General features: G+C 54.5%; 1 protein-coding gene and 1 long non-coding RNA gene across 2 annotated transcripts in view, besides 2 other annotated features; both read left to right on the top strand.

Moving 5' to 3' along the window:
* POLR2J3-UPK3BL2 (POLR2J3-UPK3BL2 readthrough) overlaps nt 1–11,425 on the top strand; it is a 34,665-nt gene extending 23,240 nt beyond the window's left edge. Inside the window, exons 5-9 of the long non-coding RNA NR_173351.1 lie at nt 7,682–7,843; nt 8,041–8,251; nt 9,253–9,329; nt 9,618–9,738; nt 10,819–11,425. This is a non-coding gene — a long non-coding RNA (POLR2J3-UPK3BL2 readthrough). The remainder of the gene's footprint in view (nt 1–7,681; nt 7,844–8,040; nt 8,252–9,252; nt 9,330–9,617; nt 9,739–10,818) is intronic.
* Nucleotides 5,070–5,570: an enhancer, noted in NCBI's record as "H3K4me1 hESC enhancer chr7:102184221-102184721 (GRCh37/hg19 assembly coordinates)". NCBI's record gives its function as "activates a minimal SCP1, AML or CMV promoter by ChIP-STARR-seq in naive H9 embryonic stem cells {active_cell/tissue: H9 hESC(naive)}" and the evidence as "EXISTENCE:reporter gene assay evidence [ECO:0000049][PMID:30033119]".
* On the top strand, nt 5,648–11,425 carry UPK3BL2 (uroplakin 3B like 2). The gene is made up of 6 exons (NM_001363506.2): nt 5,648–5,819; nt 7,682–7,843; nt 8,041–8,251; nt 9,253–9,329; nt 9,618–9,738; nt 10,819–11,425. Exons 1-6 carry the CDS (start codon nt 5,708–5,710, stop codon nt 10,925–10,927), a joined length of 792 nt encoding a protein of 263 aa, NP_001350435.1. The 5' UTR covers nt 5,648–5,707; the 3' UTR covers nt 10,928–11,425.
* Nucleotides 9,479–10,306: an enhancer, noted in NCBI's record as "H3K4me1 hESC enhancer chr7:102179485-102180312 (GRCh37/hg19 assembly coordinates)". NCBI's record gives its function as "activates a minimal SCP1, AML or CMV promoter by ChIP-STARR-seq in primed H9 embryonic stem cells {active_cell/tissue: H9 hESC(primed)}" and the evidence as "EXISTENCE:reporter gene assay evidence [ECO:0000049][PMID:30033119]".
* Nucleotides 11,426–12,348: the final 923 nt, after the last annotated feature.

The following is a 12,348-nucleotide window of genomic DNA, read 5'->3' as shown; positions in this document are numbered from 1 at the left end:
AACAGACAGATTGATCCAAGAAATGAAACAGAAATTCCAGAAGTTGACCTGAACACACACACACACACACACACACACACACACACACACACGAAGGCGTGAAAGACTCCATGACCCTCAAGGTATAAGATGCATTTTTTTTTTTTTTTGAGACAGGGTCTCACTCTGTCACCCAGACTGGATGCAGTGGTGCACTATCCCAGCTCAGTTCTACCCTCCATCCCCCCAACCTCCCCCAACCACCCTGAGCTCAAGCAATTCTCATGCCTCAACCCTCAGCCTCATGAGTAACTGGGACTACAGGCGTGCACCACCATGCGCAGCTAATTTTTTGTATTTTTAGTAGAGATGGGTCTAACCATATTGCCTAGGCTGGTCTCGAACTCCTGAGCTCAAGCGATCCTCTTGCCTCAACCTCCCAAAGTGCTCGGATTACAGCTGTGAGCCACCGCACCCGGCCGCATTCTTCTAAATCACAGTACATCTGGTTCCCAGTGCCCAGGCTCTCAGGGCAGAGGGTCCAGTGTGATCACTTTGCATGGCCTCTCTCCCCTCCTGAGCTTGTGCCAGGGCCCCAGGGCTGACCTGGAGAAGGAAAATGGCAGAGGGTGAAGATGGGGTGTCTGGTTTGGGGACCATCCTGGCCCCCCTTGTCACTGTTGGCATCTCTTCTGCACAGTGGCATTGCTGGGAGGTGCTTACTGTGCCTATTCAAGGGGCTGGCAGCCGCAGCCTCACTGCAGATCAGGGACTTGGCTTCCCGGTTGACCACAGGTCCAAGAACCTGCAGGGTCCAGCCTCCCCCCCATCCCCAGTCTTCCCCACCCTGGCCCGGCCCTCCAGGTGCAGAAACATGCAGGCCCCTCTCCAGGACTGTGGGAGGAGTGTGTCCCTCAGACTGGCCTGTGTCCTGGCTCCTCTTACCACCTCTTCCAGAGGTTGTCACCTGCAGCTGCCCCAGGATAAAGGCAAGGCCAGAGAGGACTCCTGAACTCCTGTGTGCCTGGGGTGGCAGGGGCAAACATAGCCAACTGGTGGCCTGAGCAGGGCCATGGTGAGGACACCCTTGGTGGCTTGTCCCACATCAAGCTGGGAGGTGACACTGAGGATGCATTAGTCTGCAGCGTATGATAAAAACGGCATTTCAGGCCAGGCGTGGTGGCTCATGCCTGTCACCCCAGCACCTTGGGAGGCCGAGGTGGGCAGATCATATGAGGTCAGGACTTTGAGACCAGCCTGGCCAACATGGTGAAAACTCATCTGTACTAAAAAAACAAAAATTATGTGGGTTGGTGGTGTGCGCCTGTAATCCCAGCTACTTGGGAGGCTGAGGCAGGAGAATCACTTGAACCTGGGAGGCGGAGGCTACAACGAGCCGAAATTGCACCACTGCACTCCAGCCTGACTCCGTCTCAAAAAAAAAAAAAAAAAAAAAAAAAAAAGGCATTTCAGTTCAAATAGGGAAAGGATACATCTTTCTTTCTTTCTTTCTTTCTTTCTTTCTTTCTTTCCTTTCTTTCTTTTTCTTTCCTCCCTTCCTTTATCTCTCTCTCTCTCTTTCTCTCTTTCTTTTTGAGATGGAGTTTCACTCTCGCTGCCCAGGCTGGAGTACAATGGTGCGATCTCGGCTTATTATTATTCTCCATGTTGGTCAGGCTGGTCTTGAACTCCCAACCTCGGGTGATCCGCCTGCGTTGGCCTCCCAAAGTGCTGGTGTGAGCCACTGCACCCGGCTTAGGATGCATTTTTCAATATTTTAGTGTTTGAATAACGGGCTAACTTGAGAAAAAAATAATTTGAATCACACATCACACCAAAAATAAATTCTAGGTGGATTTTAACACTTTCAAAAATTATTATTAGTTTAGAGACAGGGTCTCACTCCGTCGCCTAGGCTGGAGTGCAGTGGTATGATCATGGTTCACTGCAACCTTAAACTCCTGGCCTCATATGATCCTCCGGCCTCAGCCTCTCAAAGTACTGGAACTACAAACATGCACCACCACGCCCAGCCTAGGTGGGTTTTTAAAATCCATTCAAGGGCGGGTGCAGTGGCTCACACCTGTAATCCCAGCATTTTGGGAAGCCAAGGTGGGAGGATCACTTGAGCCCAGGAGTTCGAGACCAGCCTGGGCAACATAGTGAGACCACATCTCTACAAAAAATTTAAAAATGAGCCAGGCATGGTGGTGCACACCTGTCGTCTCTGCTATTCAGGAGGCTGAGGCGGGATCATTGTTTGAGCCCAGGAGACAGATTGCAGTGAGCTATGATGGCACCACTGCATGGCAGCCTGGGTGACAAAGGGAGACTCAGTCTCAAAAAAAAAAAAAAAAAGGTGACAGGCTGGGTGCAGTGGCTCACACCTGTAATCCCAGCACTTTGGGAGGCCGAGGCAGGTGGATCACCTGAAGTCAGGAGTTTGAGACCAGCCTGGCCAACATGGTGAAACCCTGTCTTTACTAAAAATACTAAAGTTGGCCAGGCGTGGTGGCGTGTGCCCGTAATCTCAGCTACCTGGGAGGTTGAGACAGGAGAATCACTGGAACCCCAGAGGCAGAAGCTGCAGTGAGCTGAGATTGTGCCACTGCACTCCAGCCTGGGTGACAGACCGAGACTCCAACTCAAATTAATTAATTAAATTTAAAAAAAAAAGGCAAAGAGGGAGTCCTGCCTGGGTACAGGAGACCTGGGGTTGGGTCCCAGCCCTGCCGCTGACCTGCCCTGGGACTGCAGGAAGTTTCTTTCCCTGCCGGGCCCCAGGTTTCTTCTCATCCATATAATGAGATTAGTCATAACACCTGCCCTGCCCATCTCTGGGGACCCAAGGAGAGGATGAGTCGATGAGCAAGAACGTGTTTTCAAAAAGGGGAAACAAGCCCTTCCCACATTCTGATGTCTGCTTTCAACTGCCTTTTGAAAGGGAGTGAGAGAGGGAAAAATTGTATTATACAGGCCGGACATGGTGGCTCACACCTGGAATCCCAGAACTTCAGGAGGCTGAGGTGGGAGGATCACTTGAGCCCAGGAATTTGAGACCAGCCTGGGCAACACAGTAAGACTCTCTTTCTACAAAAAGTTAAAAAATTAGCTGGGCAGCCGGACACAGTGGCTCACGCCTGTAATTTCAGCACTTTGGGAGGCCGAGGCAGGCAGATCACATGAGGTCAGGGGTTCAAGACCAGCCTGGCCAACATGGCGAACCCCGTCTCTACCAAAAATACAAAAATTAACCAGGAGTGGTTGTGCACGCCAGTAATCCCAGCTACGCAGCAGGCTGAGGCAGGAGAATCACTTGAACCCAGGAGGTGGAGGTTGCAGTGAGCCGAGATCGTGCCATTGCACTCCAGCCTGAACGACAGTGAGACTCTGTCTCAAAACAAACAAACAAACAAACAAAAAATTAGCTGGGCATGGTGCCTTATACCTGCAGTCTCAGCTACTAGGGAGGCTGAAGTGGGAGGATCACTTGATCCTGGGAGGTCAAGGCTGCAGTGAGCTATGATCACACCACTGCACTCCAGCCTGGGCAACAGAGTGAGACCCGTCTCAAAAAATAATAATAATATAATAAATAAAAGAGACCCCAGAGAGCTTCCTTGACCCTTCCACCATATGAGGACACAGCTAGAAGGCACTCTCTACGAACCAAAAACAGACACCAACTCTTCCTAGTTTTTGTTTTTGTTCTTGTTCTTTTTTTTTTAAGATGGAGTCTCACTTTGTCACCCAGGCTGGAGTGCAGTGGTGTGATCTCGGCTCACTACGGCCTCCCCATCCTGGGTCCAAGCGATTCTTGTGCCTCAACCTCCCGAGTAGCTGGAATTACAGGCGCGTGCCACCACGACTGACTAATTTTGTATCTTTAGTAGAGACGGGGTTTTTCCACATTGGTCAGGCTGGTCTCAAACTTCTGACCTCAGATGATCCGCCCACCTTGGCCACCCAAAGTGCTGGGATTACAGGTGTGAACCACTGCGCCCGGCCAGAAGTTTTTCTTGTGAGTTGAGGTGAACATCTGAATCCCCTCGGGGAACTGAGGTATGTCCCCTTCAGGGAATGGTCCCTCTTCATCCAAAAATGGGGCCCACAGGTGATAATCTGTTGGGTTTCCCAGAATGAAGACATCTGGCATAATTAGAGCGTGAAGGTCAGGCTGACGGGGGCTAGCACCCCGATCCAGGGGAGAGGTGGTCACAGGTCTCGCTCCACCTGCCCTGAGCCCCATCTCATCTTTTTTTTTTTTTTTTTTTTTTTTGAGGGGGAGTTTCACTCTTGTTGCCCAGGCTGGAATGCAGTGGTGCGATCTCGGCTCATTGCAACCTCTGCCTCCTGGGTTCAAGTGGTTCTCCTGCCTCAGCCTCCTGCGTAGCTGGAGTTACAAGAACAAGCCACCACGTCCAGCTAATTTTGTATTTTTAGTAGAGATGGGGTTTCGCCGTGTTGGCCAGGCTGGTCTCGAACTCCTGACCTCAGGTGATCCACCCACCTCGGCCTCTCAAAATGCTGGGATTACAGGCGTGAGCCACCATGCCTGGACTTCCATCTGGTAATTTTCTGTCTCGAGGAGGAACTACCCTGCCCTGACAGAGGCTGGGGATGAAGGAGGAAGAGACAGCCGGTCCCCTGGATAAAGAGGTGAGGGGGTGTGAAGTCTGGGAGCCCCCCTCCCAGGGCCAGGCTACAGGGGGACAGCAGGGCTATACCAGGAGTGCCACAGAGCTTGCATTTGGGTGTGATCTAATCCCCAGTCCTGCCCTGACCTCCTGGGTGCTCTTAGCCAAGCCCTCTTCCCTGTGTGTGCTAGAAAGTGAGGGTCACTCCCTTCCACACAAGGGAGTGAATTGAGGGTGGGGATCTGAGCTCTCTGAGCAGCAAAGCTGGACACAGGCCAAATTGCCAATCCTGAGTCCCTCTGTCATGTGGACCTGGGAAGCTTGTCCTCATCCTCCATCCTTCCCCAGGGTGGGGCCTGAGAATCTGAGAACCTTGAGCCTGGGAGGTCAAGGCCACAGTGAGCTATGATCGCACCACTGCACTCCAGCCTGGGCGAAAGAGTGAGACCCTGCCCCCCCAAAAAAAAAATAATAATAAATAAAAGAGACTCCAGGGAGTTTGCTTGACCGGCACTCCCTATGAACCAAAAACAGACACCAACTCCTCCTAGGTTGGTTTTTTTTTTTTTTTTTTTTTTTTTTTTTTTTTTTTTTTTTTTTGAGGCAGGGTCCCACTCTGTCATCCAGGCTGGAGTGCAGTGGTGCCATCTTGGCTCACTGCAGCCTCAACCTCCCAGGCTCGAGTGATCCTCCCACCTCAGGTCCTAAAGGAAGAGTCGCTACATTGGGGACTGTTTGGACAAGGAGATCCACGGGGTAGACTTAGCGGGATTGTCCCTGGGGCAGCCTGGATCCTGAGGCTGCCCCGCCTCCTTCCTCAGCCCCTCCCTGGTCAGGCGCTCCTGGTGGGTGGGGGGGGTAGTCCAGGCTTGTCTTGCAACTGTATGTTCTCTTCAGACCCCTCCCTGGCGATGCCAGATTCACTGGGCTGGCAGATTCTGCCCCCAAACCTGTCCAACCAGTTGTTTGAGAGGAGGGGGTAGCTGGGAGGGGCAGCAGGAGATGCCAGGAACAGCTTCCCCTAGCACAGCACAGACTACAGACAGGGGAGCCTCTGGGGCTGCAGACACTGCAGACGGACGGACAGACAGATGGACAACAGCTGGAGGCTTGGCCCGGCCATAGGGCTCTCTGCGGGACAGTCCCAGCTGCTAGTGTCGCTGTTGCTGCTACTGACCCGTGTCCAGCCTGGGACAGACGTGGGTGAGTAAGGGTGGGGATTGGCACAGGGGTACCCGCTGCATCTCAGGCTGCAGGACAAACCCAAGACCTCACTTTGTTTCCAAATTCTCACACATGGCTCCTGCCTCCTTCCTTTCCCTGAGGAGAGGTTTCCAGATGTCCAGGACAATGCATGTCCCCAGGAAGCTCTGGTAAGCCCAGCCTGGGCAACATAACAAGACCCCTTTTTTCAAAAAGATTTTTTTTTTTAAGATTTTTGTTTTTAATTAGCTGGGTGTGGTGGAGTGCACCTGTAATCCCAGCTACTTGGGAGACTGAGGCGGGAGGATGGCTTGAGCCCATGCAGTGAACTATGAATGCGCCACTGCACTCCAGCCTGGGCCAAACAGCAAGACCCTGTCTCAAAAAAGAAAAGAAAAGAAAAACTGGACAGGCTGAGAGATACAGTCCTACAATCTCTGCCCCCAACCCCAATCTCTGACTGCTCCGCTTCTCTTTTTCTTTTTCTTTTTCTTTTTTTTCTTTCTTTCTTTTTTTTTTTTTTTTTCGAGACAGAGTCTCCCACTGTCACCCAGGCTGGAGTACAGTGGCGCGATCTCGGCTCACCACAACCTCCGCCTCTCGGGTTCAAGCAATTCTCCTGCCTCAGCCTCCTGAGTAGCTGAGATTACAGCCGTGCGCCACTATGTCTGGCTAATTTTTGTATTTTTAGTAGAAACAGGGTTTCACCATATTGGCCAGTCTGGTCTCGAACTCCTGACCTCGTGATATGCCCGCCTTAGTCTCCCAAAGTGCTGGGATTACAGACGTGAGCCACCGCGCCCGGCCTCCACTTCTCTTTCTAAACATTACGTGCCTCCTGCACACAGAGTGCCCTGGGCTTCAGAGATAGGACTGAGAGCTCTAAGAAAGGAATCGTGACAATCCTTCCCCAAGGAAGACTCTAGCCTGAACCTTTGGAGTTGAGTTGAATTCAACGTAAATGAATCAAGTTGAACTGAACTGAACTGAACAGGGGCAGCTGCTGGAGACTCACATAGAAACCCACTCCATCGTTCTGCTTCTCCTAGACCAGTATTTGGGGTTGGGGAGGTCTGAGCTCTCCAACCAGCAAGGCTGGACACAGGCCAAGTTGCCAATCCTGAGTCCCCTTTGGGGTACAGACCTGGGAAGCTTGTCCTCGTCCCCCACCCTTCCCCAGAGAGATGAGGTGGGAGTCTGAGAGGGGGACCTGGTCCTGAAGGCGAAGATGCCTTGGGGCCATGTTGGGAGGCGGCAGAGAACCAGGCAGGTTGAAGAGGACGTTCTAGACTCACTCGGAACCAAGCTCTGGCTCCAGAGCCCCCGGACCCTCTGGGCAGTCTGTGTCCCAGCCTGGGGTCTCAGCCAAGAGGACCTTCCTGTGCCATCCCCCCGACCCCTGCCAAGCCACGCATCCTCTCATCAAGCAAAACAACCTAGACCATGTGGGTGGAGCTGGAGGGACTTAAGTTGGAGGTCACTGGGCATGTCAGGAACAGAGTTCAGCCTAGGGTCAGGCTGCCCCCAAATTCCAGTTCCATCCCAACATGGCCCGGCCCGGGAGAACTGTGCCTACCGCCAGGGTGGGACCTCCCATGCCACCATTGTCCTAGACCTCCCACAGTGCCCACCCCCAGTAGGCTCCTAAGAGAGGGGCCAGGGGCTGGACTCAGGCCTCCCACCCATGCCCATGGGGCATAGAGTTGCCGGGAAAGCTTCCTGGTTCATACCGGACCTGACCTCCCAGGAAGTGCCCGTAACTTGGGGCTCCCATGTTAAGTCTGGATCTGGGCGGGGGGAGACCAGAGCTGTTGGGGCTTGGTTGCCCCATTTGGCCTCTCCTCTCTGCCCTCCCCTTCCAGCTGCCCCAGAGCACATCAGCTATGTGCCCCAGCTCTCAAACGACACCTTGGCGGGGAGGCTCACCCTGTCCACCTTCACGCTGGAGCAGCCTCTAGGCCAGTTCAGCAGCCACAACATCTCTGACTTGGATACCATCTGGCTGGTGGTGGCCCTCAGCAACGGTGGGTGCTGCTGGGGCCAGGCTTCGGTTTTCCCTATGTGAAATGGGCCTGCGGGCCTAAGGGCAGTAGCGGGTGTGTTGCAGGGAGATGCAGGGAGCAGGTGCTGCAGGGGATGGGGCCGGGGAGGGCTGTCAGGCTTGGTAAGGTGAGGGTGGGATCCTGCTGTGTGACCTGTCTGACCATGGTGCCACCCTTAGCCACCCAGAGCTTCACGGCCCCACGGACAAACCAGGACATCCCTGCTCCTGCCAACTTCTCCCAGAGGGGCTACTATCTCACACTGAGGGCCAACCGGGTGCTGTACCAGACCAGAGGCCAGCTCCATGTCCTCCGCGTCGGCAATGATACCCACTGCCAACCAACAAAAATTGGCTGCAACCATCCCCTACCAGGACCCGGCCCCTACAGGTGAGCAGCTCTGCCAGGCCCTGGCTCCTGCCCGCATGCACCCAAGCCGGAGCCTGGGGCAGCTCCTACGAGGCTCACCAGGGCCCCAGCAGGATGCCTGGGTCCCCTGCTCCTGCTTGGCCAAAGGGAAGAGGAAGCAGCAGGCAGGGGCTAGGGAGGCCTTCATGAATTACATGAATTATCCTTCTTCTCTTTTTTTTTTTTTTCCTTTTCTTCTTTTTTTTTTTTTTTTTTTTTGTTTTGTTTTTTGAGATGGAGTCTTGCTCTGTGACCCAGGCTGGAGTACAGTGGTGTGATCTCGGCTCACTGCAACCTGTGCCTCCCGGGTTCAAGCGATTCTCCAGCCTCAGCCTAACGAGTAGCTGGAATTACAGGCATCTGACACCACACCCGACTACTTTTTGTATTTTTAGTAGAGACAGGGTTTCGCCATGTTGGCCAGGTACCTGCCACCATGCCTGGCTAATTTTTGTAATTTTAGTAGAGATGAGGTTTCACCATGTTGGCCAGGCGGGTCTCAACTCCTGGCTTCAAGTGATCTTGAAGGCCCACCTTGGCCTCCCAAAGTGCTGGGATTACAGACGTGAGCCACCATGCCTGGCCTATCCTGCTTTTCTTGAGCAGAAGGTTCCCCACCTCAAGCCCCAGTCCCCACAGGCTGTGTGGACCACTCAGGTGGCGTCTCTCCATCCAGACAGGGTCTCCCCTCACTAAATGCTTGATTCACGCATGTTCAGTTCTGAGACATCTAATACTCGCCCTCTACCTTTCCCAAATGAGGACACAGAAGCCCAGAGAGGGGGAGGGACGTCACACCACTGGAAATGTCACACCTAGATTTGAACCCATTCTGTTGGGCTCTTTCGCCCCAGCCTCCGGCCCCCTCCCCGGGCTGCTCTCGCCAGGGCCTGGGACTCCAGGGGACAGACTTGCAGGCACCAAGTCTGATGGTTTCAGGACTCCGGGGGACCCCCATGTCCAATGCTGGGTCTCCCATTCAGGGTGAAGTTCCTGGTGATGAATGACGAAGGACCCGTGGCTGAAACAAAGTGGTCCAGCGACACTCGCCTGCAGCAAGGTAGGGGCCAGAGGCTCCGGTCAAACAGTAGGGGCAGGGGGCTGGGGCCTGGGGGTCCTGAGGACTGAGGATGGGCTGGGGGAACAGGTCAGCTCACCACTCAGTCAGAGGCAGCCAACCATCTTGCAATCTGCAGGCACCCCTCCCCCAGCCACCCCCTTCCCCCAGGCCTGGGTGGTAGTAGGGGAGGCAGGGCGGTGATTGGTCTGGATTCTGCCCAAGGGCCCCTTCCGGTCAGGTAAAATTTCTTTTCCTGCCCGCCTGTGCGGCCCCCATCACTGCCCTCAGCCCAGGCACTTCGGGCTGTCCCCGGCCCCCAGAGCCCGGGCACCGTGGTCATCATCGCCATCCTGTCTATCCTCCTGGCCGTCCTCCTCACGGTCCTCCTGGCTGTGCTCATATACACCTGGTGAGTGGACCGGGCTGAGACCGCCCATGCCTCTTGGGAGGGGCGGGGCCCTTGGGCATTAACCCCTCCCTCTCTAGTTCCTCCCCGCCCGCCCCTGCCCACCTTCCAAGCGGGCACTGTGCACCCCCTGGTGGCAGCATCTGGGATTGCAAGTGGGTGCCGCCTGCGGACACCCCAGTCGGGGAGGCGCCCAAGGAGGAGGTGAATTGCTTTCACACCAAGCTCTGAGCATTGCCTCAAGACGCCATACAGGCCGGGTGCGGTGGCTCACGCCTGTAATCCCAGCACTTTGGGAGGCTGAGGCCCGCAGATCACCTGAGGTCAGGAGTTCAAGACCGGCCTGGCCAACATAGTGAAACCCCAGCTCTACTAAAAATACAAAAAATTAGCCGGGTGTGGTGGCACGTGCTTGTAATCCCAGCTACTCAGGAGGCTGAGGAAGGAGAATGGCTTGAACCTTGGAGGTGGAGGTTGCAGTGAGCTGAGATTGCATCACTGCACTCCAACCTGGGTGACAGAGTGAGACTCCATTTAAAAAAAAAAAGGGGGGGGTGTCAGGATTTCATACAGAGCTCAGGTGCCTGAGCCTGGGGCACAGAGAGTGTCCACAAGGCTTCCTAGAGAAAAGGGGAGACCTAGCCCTGTTGGGATTTGGGGAGGAGGGGGAGAGGGAGTGACTAAAAAGGGGGTGGGGAGGTGTGGGGGCAGGAGGGGCAGGAGGGGTGCATGCAGCCAGGCCAGGCCAGGGGCCCCAGGTGCCTAGCTGAGGAACTGGGCTGTATCCTGCAGCCTATGGGAGCCGGGAGTGGGTTTTGATCAGGGGAGACAGGCAGATAATGTTTGAGCGGGGTCCTGAGGTGTGGAGGGTGGAGGGGGAGAGTGATGGGGAGCAGGAGCAATGAGCTAGATTTGTGAGGTTTGAAGGAATCGCCTCAGTCCCTTTGGTTAATTCTGCCCAGCCAGTGGAGTCTCAGTTTCCCCTATGCGATGGGTCAGAGCATGCTAGCCAATGGCTGTGGGATCTCGGCCAGAGCCTTTCTTCAGCATCCATCATCTCTCCCTCTCTCCTCCCCTCCCAAGCTTCAACAGCTGCAGGAGCACTTCCCTATCAGGCCCAGAGGAGGCAGGGAGTGTGAGAAGATACACCACGCACCTCGCGTTCAGCACTCCTGCCGAGGGGGCTTCCTGAGGGGTTCCAGAGGGGCCCACGTGTCCCTCCACCTCCTCCCTGGCCCAGGCTGCAGAGCCTGAGCTGGGACACGCCCTGAAGCTTCTGGACCCTGAGAGAGATTGTTTCTTTTCTTTACTATTTTTTTTTTTTTTTTTGAGACGGAGTCTCACTCTGTCGCCAGGCTGGCGCGATCTTGGCTCACTGCAACCTCTGCCTCACGGGTTCAAGCGATTTTCCTGCTTCAGCCTCCTGAGTAGCTGGGACTACAGGCACACGCCACCATGCCCAGCTCATTTTTGTATTTTTAGTAGAGATGGGGTTTCACCATGTTGGCCAGGATGGCCTCCGTCTCTTGACCTTGTGATCCGCCCGACTCGGCCTCCCAAAATGCTGGGATTACAGGCGTGAGCCATCAAGTCTGGTGAGAGAGATTGTTTCTAGATGAGGGTGGGGGCGGGTGTCCTTAGCCCAAAGCTTGTGCCAGTCTCTATCAGAAATAAATGCCCCCAAAACCTCCCTGCCTGTCCGTGACATCATACACCTGGGTAGTCTTTCTGCACCACTGCCCCTGGCTCCTCCTCCTGAGGAGGTCCCCAAGGGCGTGTAGGACCAGGGCAAGGCTCAGGATCCTAGAGAAATTGTCACCTGGGGCAGGACAGGCCTCTCTGCCAGCCTTACTGTCCCTATCTGTAAAATGAGGATGGTAACCCTGAACCCACAAGGCCACAGTAAGGCTAAACCAAGGTGAACATGCCTTGGGAACTGTGAAGACTGTGGACCCAAAGCCGGTTGCGGTGGCTCAGGCCTGTAATCCCAGCACTTTGGGAGGCTGAGGCAGGAGGATCACTTGAGCCCAGGAGTTCGAGACCAGCCTGGGCAACATGGTGAAACCCCATCTCTACAAAAATGACAAAAAATTAGCTGGGCTTGTTGGCGGACTGTGGACCTGAGATAGGTGCTCCTCTTGTCCTGCCCAGACAGCCTCCTGGTAACCAAAGGCCACGGGGCAGCATGGCTGGCACTTGCTATCTTTCCACCCAAGCATCCTCCCTGTGGCCCCTCTCCCCAGCCTGCCCCCTGTTGGCTGGAGGACTTCAAGCCCTCTGCCTCCACTTCCTCCAGTCCTTTCCTAGAGTACACAAAAGGCAAAAGGCGCAGTTTCTTTTTTTTTTTTTTTTGAAATGGAGTTTCACCTTATAGCCCAGGCTGGAGTGCAGTGGCACCATCATAGCTCACTGCAGTCTCTAATTCCTGGGCTCCGGTGATCCTCCCACCTCAGCCTCCTGAGAGTAGCTGGGACTACAGGCACATGACACCACGTCCGGCTAATTTTTAATTTTTTTGTAGACATGGAATCTCACTCTGTTGCCCAGGCTGGAAAGAACAGTGGTGTGATCATAGCTCATTGCAGCCTCAAACTCCTGGGTGCAAGCGATCCT

This window comes from Homo sapiens, chromosome 7 (assembly GCF_000001405.40).
Source record: "Homo sapiens chromosome 7, GRCh38.p14 Primary Assembly".
NCBI classification, from domain to species: Eukaryota; Metazoa; Chordata; class Mammalia; order Primates; family Hominidae; genus Homo; species Homo sapiens.
The sequence above is the reverse complement of the archived record's forward strand: the minus strand, read 5'-3'. Positions and strand labels throughout refer to the sequence as shown.

Bases quoted from the DNA above. Each gene is read 5' to 3' on its own strand.
- UPK3BL2 (NM_001363506.2), top strand. From the start codon at position 5,708: ATGGACAACAGCTGGAGGCTTGGCCCGGCCATAGGGCTCTCTGCGGGA. The intron at 7,844-8,040 runs GTGGGTGCTGCT...TGCCACCCTTAG, and splicing joins GGTGGTGGCCCTCAGCAACG to CCACCCAGAGCTTCACGGCC. The intron at 9,739-10,818 runs GTGAGTGGACCG...TCCCCTCCCAAG, and splicing joins GCTGTGCTCATATACACCTG to CTTCAACAGCTGCAGGAGCA.